At 43.8% G+C, this 26,084-nt stretch overlaps 2 long non-coding RNA genes across 2 annotated transcripts in view, besides 1 other annotated feature; one reads left to right on the top strand and one right to left on the bottom strand.

Annotated features, from left to right (window-relative positions):
• LOC105370185 (uncharacterized) overlaps window positions 1–3,727 on the top strand; it is a 39,691-nt gene extending 35,964 nt beyond the window's left edge. Inside the window, exon 3 of the long non-coding RNA XR_941929.4 lies at window positions 3,358–3,727. This is a non-coding gene — a long non-coding RNA (uncharacterized LOC105370185). The remainder of the gene's footprint in view (window positions 1–3,357) is intronic.
• The window catches only part of LINC00407 (long intergenic non-protein coding RNA 407), a 60,648-nt gene that overhangs the window by 12,803 nt on the left and 21,761 nt on the right, over window positions 1–26,084 (bottom strand). The window contains exon 3 of the long non-coding RNA NR_149082.1: window positions 24,179–24,319. This is a non-coding gene — a long non-coding RNA (long intergenic non-protein coding RNA 407). The remainder of the gene's footprint in view (window positions 1–24,178; window positions 24,320–26,084) is intronic.
• Window positions 23,388–23,956: an enhancer, noted in NCBI's record as "NANOG hESC enhancer chr13:45238394-45238962 (GRCh37/hg19 assembly coordinates)". NCBI's record gives its function as "activates a minimal SCP1, AML or CMV promoter by ChIP-STARR-seq in naive H9 embryonic stem cells {active_cell/tissue: H9 hESC(naive)}" and the evidence as "EXISTENCE:reporter gene assay evidence [ECO:0000049][PMID:30033119]".

The following is a 26,084-nucleotide window of genomic DNA, read 5'->3' as shown; positions in this document are numbered from 1 at the left end:
TCCATGGATAAAATCAGGAGGTCCCTGAACTTAAATGGGGAAGAAAATTACTTCTCTATTCTCACTAACTGCTAACTGAAGTTTAGTTTTTACTTCAGTAAATTACTGCAGTCAAACATGCTGCAGTAATATTAGCAGCATCTGTGACTCTGACACCAATGAAAATCACAGATACTCTCCCATCACATTACAGTTGTTACAGGTATCTGGAAGTATCTTTCGTGCTTATCACAACTTCCAAATTATGATAGTTATTAGAGCTGCTGCTAGATCTTGTTCTTTCACACGATGATAAAGAAGGACATTCATTACTGTAACACAAATGTGTTTTTAATATTTAAATATTTACAATTTCATTGTAACTTTTTCATTGTATACATCATATGTATACATATTTCATTGTAAATTTAATATACTGTAACTATATTTCATCCTTTGTCATCTTATGAATTTTATTTTATGCATTTAAAAACCTTCTGATGGCAGGTGCAGTGGCTCATGCCTGTAATCCCAGAACTTTGGGAGGCCAAGGCAAATGGATCACTTGAGGCCAGGAGTTCAAGACCAGCCTGGCCAACATGGTGAAACCCCATCTCTACTAAAAATACAAAAATTAGCCAGGTGTAATGGTGTGTGCCTGTAATCCCAGCTACTCAGGAGGATGAGGCAGGAGAAGTCCTTGAGCCTGGGAGGCAGGGGCTGCAGTGAGCCAAGGTTGTGCCACTGCACTCCAACATGGGTGACAGAGGGAGATTCCGTCTCAAAAAACAAACAAACAAACAAACAAACAAACAAACAAACCTTCTGAGAGGGGCCTGGGTGTGGTGGCCTACGCCTGTAATCCCAGCACTTTGGGTGGCCGAGACGGGTGGATCTCTTGAGGTCAGGAGTTTGAGACCAGCCTGGCCAACACTGCGAAACCCCATCTCTACTAAAAATGCAAAAATGAGCCGGGCGTGGTGGCACACGACTGCAGCCCCAACTACTGGAGAGGCTGAGGCAGGAGAATCACTAGAACCCAGGAGGCAGAGGTTGCAGTGAGTCAAGATCGTGCCACTGCACTCCATCCTGGGTGACAGAGTGAGACTCTGGCTCAAAAAATAATAAAATAATAAAATAAAAAATAAAAACTTTCTGAGAGATCTATAGGGCTTACCAGACTGCTGAAGGGGTCCATGGCACAGAAGAGGCTAAGAACCCCCACGGGAGAGGCAAGCAAGAAGGCAAGTGTGACTGGAGGGAAGTGGAGATGTCACAGTTGAGCTACCCACTAGGGGAAAGGAGATCACTAGGGCTGGAGACACCATAATACTGAGGTTTTATGCTGAGGGCTATGGGAAGTTATTGGAGGCTTTTGAGTAGGGAAGTAACATGATCTAAGTATTTGGCCACCCTGGATATGGTATGGGGTAATGATTGCTAAGGTCATGAGTGCTCTCCTGGAGACCATAAAAAGGTCAGCCCAGTTGGAAGATGACAGGAACTTGGGCTAGGGTGGTAGAGGTGGAGGCGGTGAAAGAGGTCACGATGATGAATGTATTTTGAAGGTAGAACTGACAGAATTTCATGACAGACTGAATGTGGGTGTGTGAGGAAAAAGAACACTCAGGCAAGACTTTTAGGTTTGTAGCAAGTGGGTGAGTCGTGGTGCCGCTTATCAAGAGGGAGAAGATTGGGGAGGAGTAGGTTTGAGAGTGGGGAATGAAGTAGCTATGGAACCAAGAGTTCTTTTTGGAACATGTTAACTTTGAAGGGCCTATGAGCCATGCACATGGAGCTATGGAGTAGAAAGTTGGGTGTAAGTCTGGAGTTTGGAAAGGAAATAAGGACTGGAGAGCTAAATTTGGGGATCCTGGATATACAATAGGCATAAGCTATGGTTTGGATGTTTGTCCCCTCTGAACCTCATGTTGAAGTTTGATCACCAAGGTTGAAGGCGGGGCCTAGTGAGAGGTGTTTGGGTCATGGGAGCAGATCCCTCATGAATAGATTAACGCCCTCTCCCAGAGGTCAGTGAGTTTTCACTCCATTAGTTCCCACAAGAGTTGTTAAGAAGAGCCTGGCACTGCCCTACTCTCTCTTTCCTCCTCTCTCCCCAAGTGATTGCTACACACACCAGCTCCCCTTCACCTTCCTCCATGAGTAGACAAAGCCTGAGGTTCTCACCAGATGCAGATGCCAATTCTCGAACTCTCCAGCCCCCAGAATCATAGGCCAAATGAACCTTTTTCTATATACACATTACCCAGCCTTAGGTGTTCCTTCCTAGCAACACAAAATGGACCAAGAGAATTTATAAAGTCATGAGACAGGATGAGATCACCTAGGGAGAGAATATAGCTAGTGCTCTGAATGGCCAACACTTAGAGGCTTGAAGAGAAGGAGGAGTTGGCAAAGCTGACTGAAAGTGGCAGCCAGTGAGACAGGAAGATAGGTTGGACGTTTAACCCATTTCCTGTTTAGAAAAACAAAGTGCAGCTTGCTGCCAGTATTGTATTCTCAGGGCAATCGGGACATAGGTTAAAGAAAGAAAAAAAGAATCTGAATTATAAGACATGCCTTAGCTCAGATGCTACAAAATACTTTAAAATCCTAATTTTGTAACACAAACAATAACAGTGGAACAGAGTATGTTACAATTTTTGGATTACACTGGAAACCATGGCTTATTCATGGATAGGATCCTAGATTGAAGAACTTGATATCTGTGAATCCTAGACCATGATTGGCTTTTAGCATTTTCTGTTCTTGGGCAAGTTGTTTTGCCACTTTGATCTTTTTATTTTTTTCCTTTTTTTCTGTCTATAAATTGAGATCCATACAGCTAAACTATTTTGTAGGAAGATAGTGAAAATTTTCACATATCCACAAGAGAAGATGGACCACAATGTGTGTTACAATATCAAGGTGTTAAACATCCAGGAAGAATTCTGTGTTCAGCATGGCTCTTATTTGGACCCTGAGATCACCAGTCTGAGTCTCCATTATATGATTCTAATAGGGCCTGCACTAGACCAAAATGTGAGAGGAAAATTTGTCATTGGCTGCTCCGAGTCTTATTCAGGCACTTCCAGCCTTACTTTGTCAGGCCTCAAATGGAGCCCCTGAGTCTGGCTTCTTCAAGGGTCTTCCATGCTGACAATCTTTCCCTGGTCTCTCCCCCACCATGCAGCATGGATTCCATTTCCCAGCCCCTCGGGGCTGTACCTTAGGGATGCATGCTGCTGACTCCCTTCCCCACCTTCCTCAGTAGTAGGTGCAGAGACTTGCTGGAGGTGTGGGAAAAATCTGGTCCTCAATAGGTGAAAGTGCGGGTTCTAACTTTGTTTCCCATTCTTCCAATTGTCTGTAACTCAGCATCTGCCTCCTGTGTCCCCTCTTTCCCTGTTGTACGGCTAACACCAGATCCCAGTCTCTTCAGTGGCACTCAACTTTTTCAAGTCACAAGATGGAAGCGCTTTGGAAGAGGAGTAAAGGACCTGGACTCTGATTCCATGCCACCGCAAACTCGGGCAGGCACTTCAAAGCAGAGAGTCTCATTTTCCACTTCTGAAAAACACATGGTCTAGATGAGCTCTAAGTCCTTTGCACTCAATAATTTCACAGTCTTTTTTATTATTAATATTATTTTCAATTGAAAAATCATAATTGTATATTTATGGGGTACAATGTGATGTTTTGATATATGTATTCAATAAGGAATTATTAAATCAAGATAATTAACATATCCATCATCTCACTTGCCTATCATTTAAAAAAATTTGCCTATCATTTTTTATGGTGAGACATTTGAAATTTATTCTTAGTTATTTTGAAATATACATACGTTAATATTGACTATAGTCACCCTGCTAGGCAATAGATCTCAAAACCTATTTTTCCTGTCTACAAAGAAACTTTGTACTCTTAAATCAACAACTCTCCATTCACGGCCTCCCCACACACCATCCCCAGCCTCTGGTAACCACCATTCTACTCTCTACTTCTGTGAGTTCAACCTTGTTATATTCTGCATATAAGTGAGATTATGTGGTATTTGTCTTTCTGTGCTTGGCTTATTTCACTAAGCACAATGTCCTTCAGATTCCTCCGTGTTGTTCCAAACGACAGGATTTCCCCCATTTGGGGGCTGAATAATATTCCATTGTGTTTATGTATCACAATTTCTTTATCCATTCATCCACTGATAGACATTTAGGTTGACTCCATATTTTGACTAACAATGCCACAATCTTTTTCTTTTTTTTGAGATGGAGTCTCACTCTGTCACCCAGGCTGGAGTGCAATGACATCATCTTGGCTCACTGCAACCTCCGCATGCTGGGTTCAAGTGATTCTCCCGCCTCATCCTCCTGAGTAGCTGGGATTACAGGTGCCCACCACCATGCACAGCTAATTTTTGTATTTTTAGTAGAGACAGGGTTTCACCATGTTGGCTGGTCTTGAACTCCTGACCTTAAGTGATCCACCCACCTTGGTTTCCCAAAGTGCTGGGATTAGAGGCATGAGTCACCATGCCCAGCCACCACAATCTTATATAAGGGACTAAGATAATAGGAAGTCATCACCAGATAGCATAACGGTCCTCCTGGAGAGCAGGAAGAATTCTCAGGGTGCTGCTAAATTCAGAAGGACAGACTAACTTTTTGGATTCAGCCTGCCTCAGTGTCATGATGGTAAGGGTGGAAACATCAAAAGCAAGGATTTGAAAATGCCCCCCTCCCCCTCTCCCTCCCCCTCCCTCTCCCTCTCCCTCTCCCTCTCCCTCCCCCTCCCTCTCCCTCTCCCTCTCCGTCTCCCTCACCCCACGGTCTCCCTCTCTTTCCACGGTCTCCCTCTGATGCCGAGCCGAAGCTGGACTGTACTGCCGCCATCTCGGCTCACTGCAATCTCCCTGCCTGATTCTCCTGCCTCAGCCTGCCGAGTGCCTGCGATTGCAGGCGCGCGCCACCACGCCTGACTGGTTTTCGTATTTTTTTGGTGGAGACGGGGTTTTGCTGTGTTGGCCGGGCTGGTCTCCAGCTCCTAACCGCGAGTGATCCGCCAGCCTCGGCCTCCCGAGGTGCCGGGATTGCAGACGGAGTCTCGTTCACTCGGTGGCCAATGGTGCCCAGGCTGGAGTGCAGTGGCGTGATCTCGGCTCGCTACAACCTCTACCTCCCAGCCGCCTGCCTTGGCCTCCCAAAGTGCTGAGATTGCAGCCTCTGCCCGGCCGCCACCCCGTCTGGGAAGTGAGGAGCGTCTCTGCCTGGCCGCCCATCGTCTGGGATGTGAGGAGCCCCTCTGCCTGGCTGCCCAGTCTGGAAATTGAGGAGCGTCTCTGCCCGGCCGCCATCCCATCTAGGAAGTGAGGAGCGCCTCTTCCCGGCCGCCATCCCATCTAGGAAGTGAGGAGCGTCTCTGCCCGGCCGCCCATCGTCTGAGATGTGGGGAGCGCCTCTGCCCCGCCACCCGGTCTGGGATGTGAGGAGCGCCTCTGCCTGGCCGCGACCCCGTCTGGGAGGTGAGGAGCGTCTCTGCCCGGCCGCCCCATCTGAGAAGTGAGGAGCCCCTCCACCCCGAAGCCGCCCCATCTGAGAAGTGAGAAGCCCCTCCGCCCGGCAGCCACCCCGTCTGGGAAGTGAGGAGCGTCTCCGCCCGACAGCCGCCCTGTCCGGGAGGGAGGTGGGGGGGTCAGCCCCCCGCCCGGCCAGCCGCCCCGTCCGGGAGGTGAGGGGCGCCTCTGCCCGGCCGCCCCTACTGGGAAGTGAGGAGCTCCTCTGCCCGGCCAGCCGCCCCGTCCGGGAGGGAGGTGAGGGGGTGGTCAGCCCCCCGCCCGGCCAGCTGCCCCGTCCGGGAGGTGAGGGGCGCCTCTGCCCGGGCGCCTCTGCCCGGCCGCCCCTACTGGGAAGTGAGGAGCCCCTCTGCCCGGCCACCACCCCGTCTGGGAGGTGTGCCCAGCGGCTCATTGAGAACGGGCCATGATGACAGTGGCAGTTTTGTGGAATAGAAAGGGGGGAAAGGTGGGGAAAAGACTGAGAAATCGGATGGTTGCCGTGTCTGTGTAGAAAGAAGTAGACATGGAAGACTTTTCATTTTGTTCTGTACTAAGAAAAATTCTTCTGCCTTGGGATCCTGTTGATCTGTGACCTTACCCCCAACCCTGTGCTCTCTGAAACATGTGCTGTGTCCACTCAGGGTTAAATGGATTAAGGGCGGTGCAAGATGTGCTTTGTTAAACAGATGCTTGAAGGCAGCATGCTCGTTAAGAGTCATCACCACTCCCTAATCTCAAGTACCCAGGGACACAAACACTGCAGAAGGCCTCAGGGTCCTCTGCCTAGGAAAACCAGAGACCTTTGTTCACTTGTTTATCTGCTGACCTTCCCTCCACTATTGTCCTATGACCCTGCCAAATCCCCCTCTTCGAGAAACACCCAAGAATGATCAATAAATAAATAAATAAATAAATAAAAATTAAAAATAAAATAAAATAAAATAATAAAGTAAAAAAAAAAAAGAAAGAAAATGCCACCGTTGTCTTTCTTTCCACATCTGCAAAATGACCCTGGCTCCACGTGGGCACAGACTGACTCCACGTGGGCACAGATTTACTTTTTTTTTTTTTTGAGACAGAGTCTCGCTCTGTTGCCAAGCTGGAGTACAGTGGTGTGATCTCAGCTCACTGCAACCTCCAACTCCCTGGTTCAAGTGATTCTCCTTCCTCAGCCTCCCGAGTAGCTGGGATTACAGGCACGCACCACCACGCCCAGCTAATTTTTGTATTTTTAGTAGAGACGGGGTTTCACCACGTTGGCCAGGATGGTCCTGATCTCTTGACCCCGTGATCTACCCTCCTTGGCCTCCCAAAGTGTTGGGATTACAGGCCTGAGCCACCATGCCCAGCCCAGATCTGCCTTTTTAAGGCTAGATTTTGATGTCATTCCCAAATGTGCCAAAGATCTAGAAGAAGCCACATAAAAGAGAATGGAGAGGAAAATACTACCCAATCCTTGTTTCTCAAGGCCTGGAAAAGGAGTAGTAAATGGAATTGTGGAACACTGAGTAGTCTCCTTGGGGAGAAAAAAGACATCCACTATCTGGCTAGCTTTGGATTGTGTTGGGGAGAGTCCAAAATCAGACAAAGGATGCCTGAGAAATAAGATATAGCCCTTAAGTATTCTGTTTTCCAAAATGTCTGCAATTTAATTAAACAACAGGGTTGATCTACCTCTTGAGGAGCTATTTTTAATTAAACTTTACATTTGCATTTCTCCTCTCTGCTCTGTGGGGGCATTCCAGGGTAGCAGAGGGAGCAGTCATCTGGTCACACAGGATAGTCTGGGAAAGTCCCATTTCTGAGTTAACAGAATTCTTAAATGTGACTCCTATTGAATCTTCATTTTCACCAATATTCTCAGTAGTGTTGGTAAAACTTGTGTTATGTTATTTATTCTTTTGTGGCCTGTCTGCAAAATACCTCTTCTATATGGAACTCGAACATTGACTAAATTTCTGGTCAAGTTTCAGTTCGTCCATCTATAAAATAGTGCCACAAATCTCACTCTTAATACAGAATTGTTTTTATGCTTTGGGTTAGGACCAAAAACTCATGACAATGTGTGTGGCATGATATCTCAGGCATGGTAGCAAAATTTGCGAAAAGTCAAGATACCAGTCACGCTGTGTATTAGTCTGTTTTCACTCTGCTGTTAAAGACATACCCGAGACTGGGCAGTTTACAAAAGGAAGAGGTTTATTTGACTTACTGTTCCACATGGCTGGGGAGGCCTCACAATCATGGTGGAAGGCAAGGAAGAGTAAGTCACATCTTACATGGATGGCAGCAGGCAAAGAGAGAGCTTGTGCAGAGAAACTCCCATTTTTGAAACCATCAGATCTCGTAAGACCCATTCACTATCATGAGAACAGCACGGGAAAGACGCACCACCTGATTCAATTATCTCCCACAAGGTCCCTCCCACAACACGTGGGAATTATGGGAGTTACAAGATGAGATTTGAGTGGGGACACAGAGCCAGACCATATCACCCCGCAATGAAAGGAAGAAACGACCACTGGGGACATTGCTTGAGTATGACATATTTTTAATCCTTAGTGTGAAGAGAACCCCATCTAGGATAATGAGGACATCAAACTACTATGTAGACATTATTCTCACAAACTACTCATGTTCTAACTTAAAGAGACTTCTAGGCAATGAAAAAATAAATGGGCAAACTGATTGACCAGGAAGGTCAAGGTGGATGAGGAAAGACGGGTGTGTATTAATGAAGTAGTAATTGTCTTTCTATAACACTGGCTGTAATAATTTGAAACTGTGTGGCCATTTTGTGTTTTGGAGAAACATACAGCACAAAAACCATGTTCCTGCTGAATCCTCTATGCAGATATACACAATCCAAATGCCTCCATGTAAACTCTTGGAAATGGTGAGTCAGAACAGCATAATTTCAGATTGAAAACAAAATATGCCAAAGGAACTCAGCTTTTTTTTTTTTTTTTAAGACAGGGTCATATATTTGTTTTCCTTTTTGTGACTTCAGTAGTACTAATGTGACTTCAATAATACTAATACGGCTGGGCGCGGTGGCTCATGCCTGTAATCCCAGCACTTTGGGAGGCCAGGGCGGGTGGATCACCTGAGGTCAGGAGTTCAAGACCAGCCTTATCAACAAGGTGAAACCCTGACTCTATTAAAAATACAAAAATTAGTTGGGCGTGGTGGCAGGCACCTGTAGTCCCAGCTACTCAGGAGGCTGAGACAGGAGAATTGTTTGAACCTGGGAGGCAGAAGTTGCAGTGAGCTGAGATCTTGCCACTGTACTCCAGCCTGGGTGACAGTGTGAGACTCTGTCTCAAAACAAACAAACAAATAATAATAATAATAATAATAATAATAATAATATCTATTCACCTAAGAATACTTTTTCAAGACAATATTAACATTTTCAGACTGGTTTTCTAGTTCAATAAAATTTCACTTCATACATAAGCAAAACAGTCAGTAAGAAATCCATGAATGTCAAATTTTAGAAGTAGTTTAGTAAAACAGTCTTGTATTCTTGAAGATAAAGTTAACATCACGATGCAATTGAAATGTGCATTACATGGATAGCAAATCTAATCACTGCTTGAATAAGAAACAGAAAAATGCTTTATTGTAGATTTACCATTATGCTTGCTGCTAATGAATTTTTGCAAGTCGCTACAGATAATGACGGGCTCTGCTTACAGGAGGAATATGCACCAACTGCAGTGGAGCAGATTCTTTTGAATGTAAAACTTTGACCATGGGATTAGTGAATGAACTCTCAGCACTTTCCTCTTTTCAAACTCCTGCAAAATGTTGGCCCATATAGCATCCTCTTTGAAGTACAAGTATTGTGTGGATGTACTCAGGGTTCCATGTGATTCTAATAATATTAATTCTTTTTTAAGATTATCACTGAAATTAAAATATAATATTACCTGCCCCCCACAAAAAAAAGAAGACTCCAGGCCCCTGAGAAAACATGCAGCCCACAGCTTGAGAAATATCACCGTATAGAATGCTGCTCTATCAGGCCACCTCCCAGTGGATAGAACAGCAGCAACACAGGGTTGGGATGGAGAGGCCATCTCCAAGCCCCAAGAACAGGCTTCTTTCCATTCTTTTCTGCCTCACCGCTTGTCATCACATGTTCTCATCAGTGGATGGACCAAGCCATTGCCAATCGGCTCCTGCCTGGCTGCAGAGGGGCCATCGTCCACCTTTACCAGATGGTGGTGATGAAGACAAGGCTAAGGAACTCTGGGCATTGCGTCTCTCACTTTGCCGTGCACACTGTTCCCTGCAGCTGGTGCCCAAATGCACATTCTGACTCTGTAGGCCTGGAGTGGGGCCCGAGACTCTGTTTTTTAAACAAGCTCCCAGGTAATCTATCCAATGCCACTGACTCAGGACTCACATTTCAAGAAGCAAGCATCTAAGACCTGCTGGGTTTCCTTCTAGAAATAGCCTTAGAGGAGGCCAATTTTCCATCTTTTGCCTCAAGTTATTAGAAAATTGCCTTAACCTTGTGTTTTACTTGGGCCTGAGGCATTTTGGCTTCTATGAAATAGAGCAGGGAATTATTAAGTAGATTAAACAGATTCCAAGATTACTTCAATCTGAGAGAAAGCAAAGTTTCACTAGACTCAGAGGGTATTTATATTACAGGAATTTTTCATACCACTAGTTGGCATGAAGTTTCAATAAGAGTAACAGCACAAGAATCAATATATCAAACTCTAGAAACCCTAAATTAATTATAAATATACTTGGGGAAAAAATCAATAAATCAAACAATTTAGAAGCAAATGAAATGATTTTGTTTTCCTTTTGTGGTTGGATTTCAGTGACTGCCAAAAGCTTTAAGGTGCCTTTATATCAGCCTATTTCTATACTGATATTAATGGCTAGGAAATATTTTGATTTTTAATTAAATGCTACATATTGTTGGCAAAAACTAATGACAAAGCTATTTCCTTCATGTGAAGCCTATGAAAATCCTGAATTGTTGTAAATGGAAATCCAAGTCACCGTAGTTTTAGCAGATGGTGGGTTATTTTCCTTACATAGCAAAATTTCTGGAGATAGACAACCTAGAACCAGCAGGTTGGTGATGTCCTGGTCACTGTCTTGGCAATTCTCCAGGCCTTCTTCTCATCATCACACAATGGCTACCTCTGTTTTAGATGTCAAGTTTGCATTTAAGGCAGGAAGAAGGGGGTTGAGGACAGCATCAGCCTTATCCATCCATTTAACCAGGAGAGCCAGACGTTTCCCAGAAGTCCCTAGCAGACTCCCGCCGATGTATCATTGGCCAAAACTATCAAAGGACCACCCTGCAACCTTCCATTAAGGAAGGCAAGGGAAAAGTTTGGAAATAGATCATGGATTAACCCTCTAATTATTTTTATGTCTCAAACTTCTGTTTAACTGAAAAGCAGAATATTGTTTATTTCTTTTTTATACTACCTCTTCTTGACAGAAATTGTGGTAGTTTTAAAAAGTATGGGATGCTGGGTGCAGTGATTCATGCCTGGAATCCCAGCACTTTGGGAGGCTGAGGTGGGAGGACCGCTTGAGCCCAGGAGTTTGAGACCAGCCTGGGTGATATAGTGAGACCTCATCTCTATTAATTAAAAAAAAAAGTAGGGGAGATACATGACATTCTTGAAAGGAACCTTGGGGGTCTAGAAATTTCTGGTTATGGAAAGTGAAAAATATTATCCAAAGCTTCCTCCTAAGAACATGTGAAGTTGTCCTAAAGTGAAAAGATCACATGGTCGTCAACAAAGGTCATCAAGGCATTCTTGATGGTTTCATCTCCCTAAATCCTCTTCTGAGACTCCAGAATTTAGCAGGGAAGCTTATCTTTCTCGTGTTTAGAGCCAATTCAGAGCTTTTACAAGGAGAGCTTCCAAAAATACAGTGTTATGCAATACCACAGAGTTCCCTCTCCTAGGCCCCTGGTCCTTCCCTGGTCTCATCTCAGCAGGCCACTATTCCCAGTGGGCTCACATGCTGTGGGGGCCTCAATGCAGCAGAATTTCACCTTTCTGCAAGCACCAGTTAAGACCACCTCATTAAGGAACTCAGAGAGAATGTTGCAAAGATTCCAGCACTTGTTCAGTCTTTGATTCCTCGACTTCCTCCTTATTTTGATGTTCTGATATCATACAGTAGTTCTTAGCATTAAACTTTGCATATTTGATATATTTTGAACTTGACATGGATTCTTGGCTTTAACTACCTTAGATTTTAATTCTTTCTTTCTTTCTTTCTTTTTTTTGAGATGGAGTCTCACTCTGTCACCCAGGCTGGAGTGCAGTGGCACGATCTCAGCTCGCTGCAACCTCTGCCTTCCAGGTTCAAGCGATTCTCCTGCCTCAGCCTCCCGAGTAGCTGGGATTACAGGCACGTGCCACTGCGCCTGGCTAATTTTTTGTATTTTTAGTAGAGACGGGGTTTCACTATTTTAACCAGGATGGTCTTGATTTCCTGACCTCGTGACCCACCCACCTCAGCCTCCCAAAGTGCTAGGATTGCAGGCGTGAGCCACCGCGCCCAGCCAATTTTAATTCTTTTAATAAACATTAGTGTTCTGAGTGACTAGTTCTAAAGAAGGGTTCATTTGACTCCTATACAATTGTCTGTGTGAAGAGTATTCTGTTTTCTAGATTTACTAGGAGTTCTGCATTTCTTATCTTCTTACAGAACTGTGAAGTGGGATGGTTGCTTTTATGATGTTAGGCTAACCTATTAATATATTTCTTAGTGTACTTGATCTTTAGGCAGTGCTAGAAAGGATGCCGGGGTTCTAGGTCACAATTCATGCCTGGTGCCTGCCACTCACAGACATCACCCTCAAACATGATAGAAAATATTTAACCACATGTCAAGCCTTCTTTTCATTGTGTCTAGGACCTACATCACAGAGGAAGTACTGGATTATAATCACATGAAATTGTAATTTCAATAGGAGAAAGTCTGTTAATACATATTTAAATCTATAACAGCATCTTTTTTTTTTTTTTTTTTTTTGAGACAGGTTCTTCCTCTGTAACCATGGTGGCAGTGCAGTGGCACAACCACAGCTCACTGTGCCTCGACCTCCTGGGCTCAAGGGATACTTCCACCTCAGCCTGCTGAGTAGCTGAGACTACAGGCATGTGCCACCATACCTGGCTAAATTTTTTTAATGTGTATTTTTGTAGAGATGGGGTCTCCCTATATTGCCCAGGCTTGTCTCGAACTTCTGTGCTCAGGTGGTCCTCCCACCTTGGCCTCCCAAAGTTCTGGGATTACAGGCATGAGCCACTGCACCTGACCTATAACAGCATCTTTTGGAGACCTATTTTAATGAGTTATTCTTCCAGAAGTATGTATATTTTAAAGAAGATGGGGAAAGAATTCAGAGATATAACTCTGAATGGAAAGAGTTCAGGTCTTGGGACACCTGCATGAAAAAAAGAATTTTAAGCAGGGAGTCCTGTCTGAGCCCTTTAAATCATGTTGCGTTGAAGGGTCAAGTGTGCCTACTTTACCAATCGTTATAAGAATTGGGCCCACCCACACAGTATGATCATAAAGGTCTTACCATGAGGGAAGCTACCCCAGAATAGCTTGAGGTAAACGTCTGGGGTAGGGGCGGTGGCTGAATTGCAAGGAAATAGCATGGAAGGAGGAAGGGAGAAGCTCTGAAGAGAAATTGAACCTGCTCCACAGTTCTTGGAGGAGCCCCCATGGTTCCTTCTATTAGAGACTTTTAGGCTGGGCACAGTGGCTCACACCTGTAATCCCAGCACTTTGGGAGGCCGAGGTGGGCGGGTCACCTGAGGTTGGGAGTTCGAGACCAGCCTGACCAATATGGAGAAACCCCATCTCTACTAAAAATACAAAATTAGCCAGGTGTGGTGGCACATGCCTGTAATCCCAGCTACTCTGGAGGCTGAGGCAGGAGAATCGCTTGAACCCAGGAGGCAGAGCCTGCAGCGAGCCAAGATTGCACCATTACAGACCAGCCTGGGAAACAAGAGTGAAACTCCGTCTCAAAAAAAAAAAAGAAAAAAACTTTTAGAGAGTAGAGAACTATAATTTCTGTGGAAAGAAATTGTGAATGAAAAATCAGATTTCAGAGCCAGGCATCGTGACTCACACCTGTAATCCCAGCACTTTGCAAAGCTGAGGTGGGAGGATCACTTGAGCCTAGGAGTTTGAGACCAGCCTGGACAATATAGGGAGACCCCATTTCTACAAAAAGCATAAAAATTAACCAAGCATGATGGCACACGCCTGTAGTCTCAGCTACTTGGGTGACTGAAGCAGAAGGATCACCTGAGCTCAAGAGGTGGAGGTTGCAGTGAACTGTGATCGCACCACTACACTCCAGCCTAGGCGACAGAGTGAGAGCCTGTCTCAAAAAAAGATTTCATCTTAACTGTCTCACACAGTGAACCAAAAAAGAGTAGATTTTGGGAGGGGACTCAACTTTCCTGATTTACTTTGACAAAACAAAATGTCTCCATTTCATACATGCTTATGATAGTGAAAATCCAAGCACTTCTTTCTAAACAAAAAGTATTTCATTAGCAAAGAATATGAATTGCAAAGAATGTGACCCACATATTTAAAGATGAAAAAAACTTAGAAAGGGTAGTATCAAGATATTTGGAGCTGGGCTCAGTGGTTCACGCCTGTAATCCCCTCACATTGGGAGGCTGAGGTGGGCGGATCACTGGAGGCCAGGAGTTCAAGACCAGCCTGGCCAACATGGCAGAAACCCCGGTCTTTACTAAAAATAAAAAATTAGCTGGGCATGGCGGTGCACACTTGTAGTCCCGGCTACTTGGGAGGTTGAGGCAGGAGAATCACTTGAACCCGGGAGCCAGAGGTTGCAGTGAGCCGAGATCACACCACTGCACTCCAGCCTGGGTGACAGAGAGAGACTCCATCTCAAAAACAAAACAAAACAAACGATATTTGGAAACGACAAAAGTTAGATGACTACTTAAATACATACAGTGGCAAAAATATACCCTTGCTGTTTGGAGCAACAAAGTTGTGTCAGCTTATGGAACAAGGAAATGATGGATCTCTAAACATACTCCTTTGATGAGCTACAGCTGGTGGCTCTGTTCTGGTTGTGGCATTTCAGAGTGTTTTTATGGGTGCTCTTCTGCTAGCATGCCAAGAGTTGCATGTGCACCAACTGCTGGGGCTTGGGTGGGTTTTTTTCCCCCAAACCAACTGTGGCCCTCTGATCTCCTAGGAGTCACGAAATCACAATCTTTGCATTGAAAAGGACTTGAAAAGTTCTCTAGTGAGATGGTTTCTAACCTTTTTGATCATGAAGATCCCTTTTAACCTTAAAAGAACAAAGGCTGCAAGTCTTCCCCATGATAGTAGTTGCATTTTTAATATCTGAGCTTCGAGAAAATGCAAAATGGGAAAAGACTTTTATAAATTCAGTGACATCCATAATTAATTTGTACTTTATTAATCATAATGGCATTACATAATTTCAAAAGGAACAGTATACACACTTGCCAGACACATATTTCATTCCCTCTAAAGCAACACCACTTGTGCACATGAATTCACAAACCCCTTCTAATAGCTCTACTGCTCACCACCCCATCCCTGAAGATCTTTTATTCACAAATTGGGAGAACCTGCCCCAGATAAATGACCCTTTATATATGCTACAACAATCCTGCCAAGCTGTTGTCCAGCTTGTACTTGAAATCTTTCAGTGACAGGGAACTCACTACTCAAAAACGTATCTCATTTTTGAATCATTTTATTCATATTAAATTATTGAGTTCAATATTTGAACTCAATCTTGAACTCAAGTTACTATTACTTACCTAACTTGCTCCTATCTCCTTAGGTTATATAGACAAATACAAACCTTCTTCAAATCTATGGACAACATGGATGCCCTCTCTGAGCCATCTCTTATGCAAGCAAAACTTTCCAGGTTCCATGGAGTATTTCCGAGTTGGCGCTTTCTCCAAATTTTTAAATTTTAATATTTGAAGATCCTGTGATGATATTGCTTCTGAATCCAATCCTCCCCCTTTTTTTCACTGTCTTCTTTGATCCTTTTAATTTCACCCAATTGTAATAGAGCACTTGTTGTCCAGACTGTTGGGCACTACACCAGAAAGGGAACATTTCAAGTATTGCCACATAAGGGTAGAAAATAGATAAGATTTTGGCCGGATGCGGTGGCTCACACCTGTAATCGCAGCACTTTGGGAGGGTGAGGCGGGTGGATCACTTGAGGACAGGAGTTCCAGACTAACCTGGCCAACATGGTGACTGTCTGTCTCTCCTAAAAATACAAAAATTACCCAGGTGTGGTGGCGGGCACCTGTAATGCCAGCTACTCAGGAGGTTGAGGCAGGAGAATTGCTTGAACCCAGGAGGCGGAGGTTGCAGTGAGCCAACATGGCACCACTGCACTCCAGCCTGGATGATAGATTGTGACCCTGTCTCAAAAAAAAAAAAAAGAAAAGAAAAAGAAAACGGAAACAGATTTTGTTTCTCTGTGTCTCAGAACAAGAATTTTTTATTTATTTATTTTTATTTTATTTTTTGTTTTTTGAGATGGAGCCTAGCTCTGTCGCCAGGCTGGAGTGCAGTGGCGTGATCTCAGCTCACTGCAACCTCTGCTTTACAGGTTCAAGCGATTCTCCTGCCTCAGCCTCTCGAGTAGCTGGGATTACAGGCAAGCACCACCATGCCTGGCTATTTTTTTGTATTTTAGTAGAGATGGGGTTTCACCATGTTGGCCAGGATGGTCTTGATCTCCTGACCTTGTGATCTGCCTGCCTCAGCCTCGCAAAGTCCTGGGATTACAGGTGTGAGCCACCGCACCCAGCCCAGAACAAGAATTTAAAGGCAGAAGGTTTTGTTTTCCTCCTTACCACTTCCATTTCCAATCTCATTTACTCAGTGCTGCGCTGTGCAGAAGCGGGCCGCAGGAGCAGCAGGGCTGGGGCTAGAGGATGTGAGTTCAAGTCCAGGTGGTGCCTCAGTGACCTTAACTGCTCCGAATCTGTTTCATCATCCTTAACACCGAAAAAGTAATTCAGATGCAACTGATTTGCATAATACTTTAGTATTTACAACATATTTCCCCACACGTTATCTCTCTTTTACATGCTCTACCTCCCTGCGTTCCTCCTAAGTCATTGTGAAAAGCAGGGAGATACTGGAATTAATCTACCTGATCCTCTTTGACCCAGTGGCTGCATTCCCACCTTGCTGGGTACTGGATGTGGTGTTCTCTTACCACTGAATTTGCTTTTGCATTCCTTGATGCTCTGGTTTGCATTTTAAATTATTTTCTCATCACCAACCCTACAGAAATAATATAGCCTCTTTCAATTAAAAAAAAAAAAGAGGCTGTTTGGTCTAAACTTTTTCAACTTCCTTCCCAACCTTTGTCAAAATGAATGCTCTTTTTACCATCCTGACCCCCTTTCTGTCTCAGAGGAAGCTTCACCCTTCATTCTTTCCAGAGCTAATCCCCCTCCCTGGGATCTTGATCCTTGATTTATGACTCTTCTCCCCTCTTTCCTCTCTCTTCTCACTGGCATGTCTCTGACTTATATACATGCTTAACGATATGATTTGGCTGTGTTCTCACCCAAATCTCATCTTGAATTGTAGCTCACATAATTCCCACATGTCATGGGAGGGACCTGGCAGGAGGTAATTGAATCATGGGGCAGGCCATTCCCATGCTGTTCTTGTGACAGTGATTAAGTTTCACAAGGCCTGATGGTTTTATAAAGGGGAGCTTCCCTACATACGCTCTTTCTTGCCTGCTGCCATGTAAGATGTGACTTTGCTCCTCCTTGCCTTCCACCATGATTGTGAGGTCTCCCTGGCCAGGTGGAACTGTGAGTCTATTAAACCTCTTTCCTTTTTAAATTACCCAGTTTGGGTATGTCTTTATTAGCAGCACGAGAACAGACTAATACACTTAATTCCTATATTCCCTAAATAAAACACACGACCTTTTCATGGCCACACCCAACTTGCTCCCCTGCCCATCATTGCTCTTGGTCAGACCTGGGGCCCCAAGTTGCTGGGAGACAGCTGCTGCCCTTGCCTCAACATTTCTCAATTTGTTAAAGTCCTGGAGGCCGGGCTCTTGCTCCTTGGTTCTGACCAGTCCCCTTCTTCACATCACAATCTCCCTCAGAACTCCAACCCTTTCCTGCTCCTGGGCTGGTGGCTGGGAGCTCAGGAGCCCTGTGCTTGTTTGTCTCAGGCTTGACTTTCTTCCTAGACCAGATGAACCTGCTACCTGAGGACAGACGTCTCTGACCCAAGGCAGAATGTTACAGAGGAAAGAATCAGGGCTTTGAGGTTCCACAAATGTGGGTTCAAATTCTGCCCTCTCAGTTGGATTTGGGCAGTTCCTTGGCTCTCTGAGCCTCACTTTCCTCATTTTTAAATTATACCTTGCAAAGATGTTCTGAAGCTCAAACAAGATAATGAAGGTGAAGCATCCCCCCCACCAAAAAAAAGCCTCTAAGAAATGGCAGCTCTTGTTAGAGCTAAGTTCTCTGGACTACAGAAAACTGACTCCCGCACTCCCCACCAGCATAGCCTCTATCCCACCTCTCCACCAGTCAACTGTTTCCAGAGCTGAAGCTGCACCGTGGCGTGAACATCTCCCCCCGGCAATATGGCTGGTGTGTGTGACCATGCTTAAGTCAGCAATCTCTTCACTTTGTACCTCTCCATTTCACGCACCTCGACTCAATCAGCTGGGTCTATTTGCACAGTTTCTGTTTTGTCTAAGTAAGTGGACCACCCCACCCTCAGCTTCACGACACATAATGTCTCAAATCTTGGCCATAGATCATGACTTGTTCCTTAGAACCTAACTTGCTCTCTCAAAGGCCAGAGTTCATTCTCTGAATTGCTCAGCCTGGTTTGTACCTCTCTGTATCATGTCAGTCTGCAGACTGGCTTTTAAAATCTCTCCCATTGCTGTGACTGATTTCGGTCTAACTCCCTTCTTGCTCTGCCTGTCCTCATGCCCACTCCCTCTGTCTTTTTATACTTTCTTGCATGAGCAATTTCATGCACTTCAACAAACTCCAGCCATGTCTATATGCTGGTAACTTCCAAATCACTGGTCTAGGCCCTTCCTAACTCCATGCTCATGTTTCTAGTGGTCTGTCACACGTGTCCAGAGAGCCTTCAAACCGTACCTCCAACAGCATCTCATTCCTTCCTTTCTCTTGAGTTCTCTGACTCAGTGAATGGCTCTGACTTAGTGAATGGAACCACCACCCACCCACCCACGCTCAAAGCAGAAACTTCACTTACCCCTGACCTGCTCTTTACCTATTGCCCCAATCCCATTCCATCTGTCTCTATTTTTACTTGTTTCCCATCATTTCACAATGCTTGGTTCAAACTCAGTCAAACTGGTCTCCCTTCTGTCTGCTGGGGCCAGAGATATCCTTTTAAAATGGAGAACTCACATTGTCACCTTGCCTGAATGTCTGTGGGAAGTGTTTTTTTGCCAAAATCATCAGTAAGGCATTCCATGCCCCTCACAATTGGGCTCCAATTTGTCCTTTCATGCTCACCCCTTGCTGAAAGTCCCTTGGACCCAGGCTGAGTGGTATGTGGCCTCTGTTTAGCTTGCAATTTCAGTTCATTAACCGATCATTTTCATTCACAGGCTCTCTCCTCTGCCAAATAACCCAGTTCTGCTTGAATTGTTTAGCATATGTAGGTGATTCAATCACAGAAAATTTCTTCTCGTGGATATTTTTAGTCATCAAATGACATAAACACTCTATACAATAATCATAGAGTTTATAAAAATCTTGAGGGAAACCTATAATTATCTGATGGCATCTCAGAAATATTTGAAAGAATTATGGCATAATGACATTACCAGAGTGAGTCTCAAAACTTTTTCCAGTTAGCATTGAACTTTTATTTATCCAAGCTAAGAGGAGGAAATGGCATAGATAACTCACAGCATTAAAGGCAGAAATACACACATTTTGTTGTATAGTACACTATATGACTTTTTTCCTTCTTGCAGAGTGACTTTTCTAATGAAGCTTTCATTAGGTTGATAAAAAATTAATTACTAATCCCAGACATCAGCAGTTAATGCTAAATTGGGGAGGGACCCAAAAGCATGGGCATTTTAGGCACCAGGCTGCCTGGGAGACCACATTTGCTACAGATAATATGAATTTACAATTATGATTTGGACTGAGAGTATGTTTTTCTGTCTTCACTTGGCTGTTGATTTGCTTATGTTTTATGCAACCATGTCTTCTGTCTTAGCTAAAAACTGTCATTAATGCTACAACCTGCTGCCTGATAGACACTCTGCACTGCTAGGCATACAGAAGGCTGATTATTTTTAGTTTCTTCGTCATTATGTGTGGGTCAGATATAAGGCAAATTCATACCCCAGAGTCTACAAAATACAGTCATTGTGGAAATGAGAGGTCATTCTATTTTTACTCACTTTCACTTTAATTGCAAATTGTTAGTGCAGGAATTTCCACAAAAGGGTTATGCAAGCATGCCCAAATTGCTTGAAATATTTTCCACTTCTCTGACTTCCCATGGGAAAAGCCACTAGGTTGCATTTGTGGCATCTCAGTTGGTTCGAGCAGCCTAATTGGGATTTAGAAGCTTTAAACTGCTCGGGTTTACAGATGGACACCCATGGACATCCAGGAACTCTTGTGTCCTCTCCCTCAGAATCTGGAAATGTGTGAATTACTCATGTAAAATACAGTCTGGATGATGGCAGCTAACATCCAACTTTTATTTATTTGTTCAATATCCCATTTTTATATTTATTTATTAAAATAATTTTTTTAAAAAAATTTGAACTGTTAGCCAGGAATTTCATCAGGAAGGAAGGTATACTGTGCTCTTTAAAAATAAGAAAAAAAAAGAGGAGCTCTTGTATGTGAGAAATATACTCTTGGGCACAGGTAACTATCCCGCCTCTTGGGCAGAAGCGCCTCATCACCCTGCCCCATCTGTGAGAGCCATCTAATTGCAAACACAGGTCCTTCACAATGCAGTGTACTAATGCAAAACAATTAATTAAAGCTCAGAGGAAAAGAGCTGTTTAAGATATATACTCGACTCAAGAAGTAAAACTCTTGCTGTGATCCTGCTTTAATTCCCTCTAGTGGTCTTTCTTACACACCCCCCTCCATGCACCCACGCAAATTTCATTTGTCCTAGTTTTCCATTTCTGTTATCTAACTTTCAAAGTAATTTAAACTAGACAGGGAAAAAAAGCCAGTGTAGGCAATTCTTTGTCTCTTAAACTTTAGAGTGCATCTAAGTCACTGGAGGATCTTGTTGGAGTACAGATTCTCATTCAGTAGGTCTGTGACCGACTGGGAAGCTCCGTTTCTACTGAGTTCCCGAGTATTCTGATGCTCGTGGTCATGGGCCACAATTTGAGTAGCAGGGGTCTAAACTATAGATACCCTCCCTGATGTGAATTTGGACTTCATTTTTTCGGGATCCCTATGTAGATGTGTCACCGTCTTACTTGCCTAGTGACTGATATAATTGGCATTCTACAGATATATCTTGCCTGCTTCACCTCTTCTCAAATCCATTTTTCTTCTTGGCCTTGCTATTCCCTCTGGAATCCTTGAGGAAATATATCAGTGTCTAGGCCTTTGATATATCACATAGGAATATGTTCAAGGCTGAGCACGGTGGCTCATGCCTGTAATCCTAGAACTTTGGGAGGCTGGGGCAGGAGGATCACTTGACACCAGGGGTTCAAGAACAGTCTGGGCAACACAGTGAGACCTTGTCTCTACAAAAATATAAAAGTTAGCCAGGCATGGTGCAATGCCTGTAGTTGCAGCTACTGGAGAGACTAAGGCAGGAGGAATGCTATAGCCCAGAAATTGAAAGTTGCAGTGAGCTATGATTGCATCACTGCACTGCAGCCTGGGCAAGACCTTTTTTTTTAGAGATAGGGTCTGGCTCTGTCTCCCAGGCTGGAGTGCAGTGGCGCGATCTCTGCTCACTGCAGCCTTGACCTCCCAGGCTCAAGCAATCTGCCCACCTCAGCCTCCCAAAGTGCTGGTATTATAGGCATGAGCCACCCCGACTTTCATATATATATATGAAATATATATATATATTTATTTTTTATTTTTTTGAGATGGAGTCTCGCTCTGTTGCCCAGGCTGGAGTGCAGTGGCATGATCCTGGCTCACTGCAACCTCTACCTCCCAGGTTAAAGCAATTCCTATGCCTCAGCCTCCCAAGTATCTGGGATTACAGGCATGCGCCACCACGCCTGGCAAATTTTTTGTATTTTAGTAGACACAGGGTTTTACCATGTTGCCCAGGATGGTCTCAAACTCCTGAGCTCAGTTAATTCAACTGCCTTGGCCTCCCAAAGTGCTAGGATTACAAGTGTGAGCCACTGCACCCAGCAAATTTTTTTTAAGGGCCATGTTTGAGACATAGACCCTTCTGACAATTTTTAAAACGAAATGACACATTTATTCTTTCCATTTTAACTGAACTATTGTGTGGCAGGGCAGTGTTTGGAAAAATGCACTGGGCAGGGAGGAACTTATGAGTCTGAAGCCGATATGCCTCAGTTTCCTTCCCAGTAAACAAAAAGGCAGAAGTTATTTAAGTGTGGATATGAATCCTCCAGTGATTTATATGCACATTAAAGTTTGAGAGGCAAACAAAGAATTGCTCACTTTGATAAGGCAGAATGTGGTTATATCTAAAGCCCCTTCTGGCAGGGTGCGGTGGCTCATGTCTGTAATCCCAACACTTTGGGAGGCCAAGGCAGGAGAATCACTTGGGCCCTGGAGTTCAAGACCAGCCAGGACAACACAGTGAGACCCTGTCTCAAAAAATTTAAAAAAAAATTGTTAAGCACCTTCCTACTCTAATCTTTTGAAATTAAATTCTGAATTGTTCATTTATTCATCTGGATGGATTCCTATGGGCTTGAGCCAATATATGCTCCTTTAGAAAGATAGTTCTGTTCATGTTGAACCCTGCTGAACTCATCAGGTTCCACTCCCACGACTATGCTCCCAAGAGCAGATTGCTTAGCCCATAAGAATAGTGAGATGGCATTACATCTTCATTAGTTCAAACCCATCTGTCTTACAGCTGGACTCTGAATGTCTGGACCTGGACTGTTTGGGGAAAAGAAGGCAGCCAGTAACGCTTATGTCTGGTTGCCAAGATTATAGGGCTTGGCTGGACTAGGCAAGACTTTACCTAAAGCACCTGAAATCAGCCCAACCCAAGACAGGAAGTAGAAATTAAATCTAAGAAGTGAAGCCAGAGATGAGAGCTGGAGGACTGAACTATCGAGGAAGTGAGGTGGAACCATAGTCAAGAAAACAAGATGTGTGGGCCAGGTGCAGTGGGTCATGCCTGTAATCCCATCACTTTGGGAGGTCGAGGCAGGCCAATCGTTTGAAGCCAGGAGTTCATGACCAGCCTGGCCAATATGGTGAAACCACGTCTCTACTGAAAATATAAAAATTAGCTGGGCATGGTGGTGGACACCTGTAATCCCAGCTACTGAGGGGGCTGAAGCAAACGAATCACTTGAACCCAGGAGGCGGAGCCTGCAGTGGACTGAGATGGTGCCACTGCTCTCAGCCTGAGCGACAGAGCGAGACTCTGTCTCAAAAAAACAAAAACAAAACAAAAAACAATAAAAAACAAAAACAAAAACAAAAAAACAAGATATGAACAGAAACCATGTTCTTAGGAGCACCTATACATATTTGCACAGTTTTGAATATGATGTCAAGAGGTTCAGGAATCCCCTAAGCCCCATGCAGACCCCTAAAGTTGATGGAAGTCAAGCCTGGAACTTCTGCTGGAGAAGAATGAAGGTTTTACGCAGCTAAAAGACCCTCCCTTTTTTCCCCTCTGGGACCCCTGCCCCCATCCCTGACACCTAATATTGGGACACAGAGGATCAGTCCATCAATACCCATTTTGAGATGGAAAACAGAAAACACCCAGGAGGCAAGGCACAGTATGTTTTTTGCCTTTGTCAACAATGGTCTTTGTCATGGGATTATGGAAAACAAGAAAGGATTGGCTGATGTGACCACTATTGAAGCCTGGAAAAATAGGCAGGTGCTTTAGAAATTGCCAGCTGATGAAAGAGCGCACAGAATTACCTTCCACCCAGTCCCATTGGCCCTTGGGAGCCTCTAATGATCCTTGAAGGAGATGTTAATAGCAAGGGCTGATTCTGAGCTTGAGAAGTCTTTTTTTCTTTTCTTTTCTTCTTTCTTTCTTTCAAGATTCCTTTCTTGTTTTTTCTGCTTCAAAATAGTGTATAGATCTGATATATAAGCAAAGCTTGGTGGGAAAGAGAGATTAGGGTCTCAAGGATAAAAATAAACATTCACCTGTCAAATGTTGATTCTAGTTTAATTTCCTGACAGCTTTATCCCATAAATAAGGGCTCCCAAGTTTCAATATCCTTTCAATATTTCAATATCCTTTGCAGTTTCTAAAAAAGAAATTTCACTGATGCAAGTTGTCGTAGCATGACAGAAGAGAACGGGAAAATCTGATGAGATCTCCCAATCCACTCACCTTTTAACGCTCTTTTTCTTTCCACTGCTTTCACTGGGCAGTCTCCCTTCTTAAAGTGACAGATTCACAGGGATCCATCCAGCATTTGAAACAGGATTCTCAACCTCTTTGTAGGGTAGAAGTCATCTTGCTGGGATCCACCTGTTCAGATCATGATTGACTTCTCAATATGTTGAGAGACAGAACGTTTGATAAGTAGCATGGTGATGCATTAAAAAATATGATCATTGATTACCAACTATATAGAAAAATTGTGGTGTAGTAGCATCAATTTTGACCTAACATCACCAGAATAGGTGTAATTATGGGGCAGGAATGGCAGGTTCATATTTCATCTGATTAACTTGTGAAAAAAACAATCATTTTGCAGCAGCCTTCACCTTCAGTTAGTTCAAAATGAGAGAGAAATAAGTTGAGGCCAGAATACAGGTTATTAGGAAATGTACAGAGGTGAAGACCCTGCAGTTGAGAGGAATATGGATGTTAAATTAATCCAAGCATCATCTGATAACAGTTATACAGAGGGTGTCTGTGCATACAAAGCAGTGGAGTTCTATAAGCCTATTCCTACAAATTTTGTTCGATAATTACTGCTCTTATTTGTAATCCCTTATACAAATAAGTTATATGAATCACACCATTCTTTTTTTTTTTTTTTTTTTTTTTGAGACAGAGTCTCCCTCTGTCACCAGGCTGGAGTGCAGTGACACGATCTCGGCTCACTGCAATCACCACCTCCCGGGTTCAAGTGAATCCCATGCCTCAGCCTCCCACGTAGCTGGGACTACAGGCGCACGCCACCGTGCCTGGCAAATATTTTGTATTTTTTAGTAGAGACGGGGTTTCACCATGTTGGCCAGGATGGTCTCGATCTCCTGACCTCGTGATCCACCTGCCTTGGCCTCCCAAAGTGCTGGGATTACAGGCGTGAGCCACCGCGCCCAGACGATTCACACCATTCTTAAGCAAATAAATGTAATTTTGTACAAAAAAGAAGGGATGGTTTGCTTTAAGATATGACTTATCTCAGTTACCTGTGGATAAGGAAGAAACCACAAAAGTCCAACATCTCAAACTCAGGGTCCAGCATCTCATCTCCCACAGCAGTAAGCAAACATCACACACAAAATGCCATCAAATTAATGTCACCACACTAATTGTTCTCTTTAGCAATAAAAGATAAGACATAATATAGATAGGAATTGAAATGAATCTATTTGGAGGGTTTTTTTTGACAAGCTTGTTGCTACTTAACTGTGTGGGCTTAGACAGGCACTTTGCATGTCTAGATCCTATTTCCTCATTTGTGAAATAAGAGGATTATATTTACAAGACTTAGCATTTATTGCACATTTTAACGGTGTCAAGCACTGTGCCTGGCATTTTAATGCATTGCCTTTAATCCTTAAAACAACTTTCTGAAGTAGATATTATTATCTCCACATTACAGAAAGGAAAGTTGAGGCCGAAAGAAGTGAATTAACTTGCCAGAAGAGACGTTAAGAAACCAATGATGCATCTGCAATTGGAATCCTACTCTTTGGGGATCCAAGATATGGTCCTTGTCCTTAAGGTGCTTGTATGCATTTGGGAGGACTGCTGTAATAATGTACCTCAAACGGAATGGCTTTTACAACAGCAAGTGATTATCTCTCAGTCCTGGAAGCCAAGATTAAGGTGTTGGCAGGGTTGGGTCATTCTGAGGCCATGAAGGAGAATCTGTTGAATGCTCCTCTCCTTTCTTCTGGTGGTTTTCTGGTAATCTTTGATGTTTCTCGGCTTGTGGCAGCATAACTCCAATCTTTACATGGGGTTCCTTCTGTGTGCATGTCTGTGCCCAGGTTCTCATTTTTATGATACTAGTCATATTGGATTAGGGACCTACCCTGCTCCAGTATGATGTCAT

Source organism: Homo sapiens, chromosome 13 (assembly GCF_000001405.40).
Source record: "Homo sapiens chromosome 13, GRCh38.p14 Primary Assembly".
NCBI lineage: Eukaryota > Metazoa > Chordata > Mammalia > Primates > Hominidae > Homo > Homo sapiens.
Note: the sequence above shows the minus strand (reverse complement) of the source record. Positions and strands in the feature narration are given on the sequence as shown.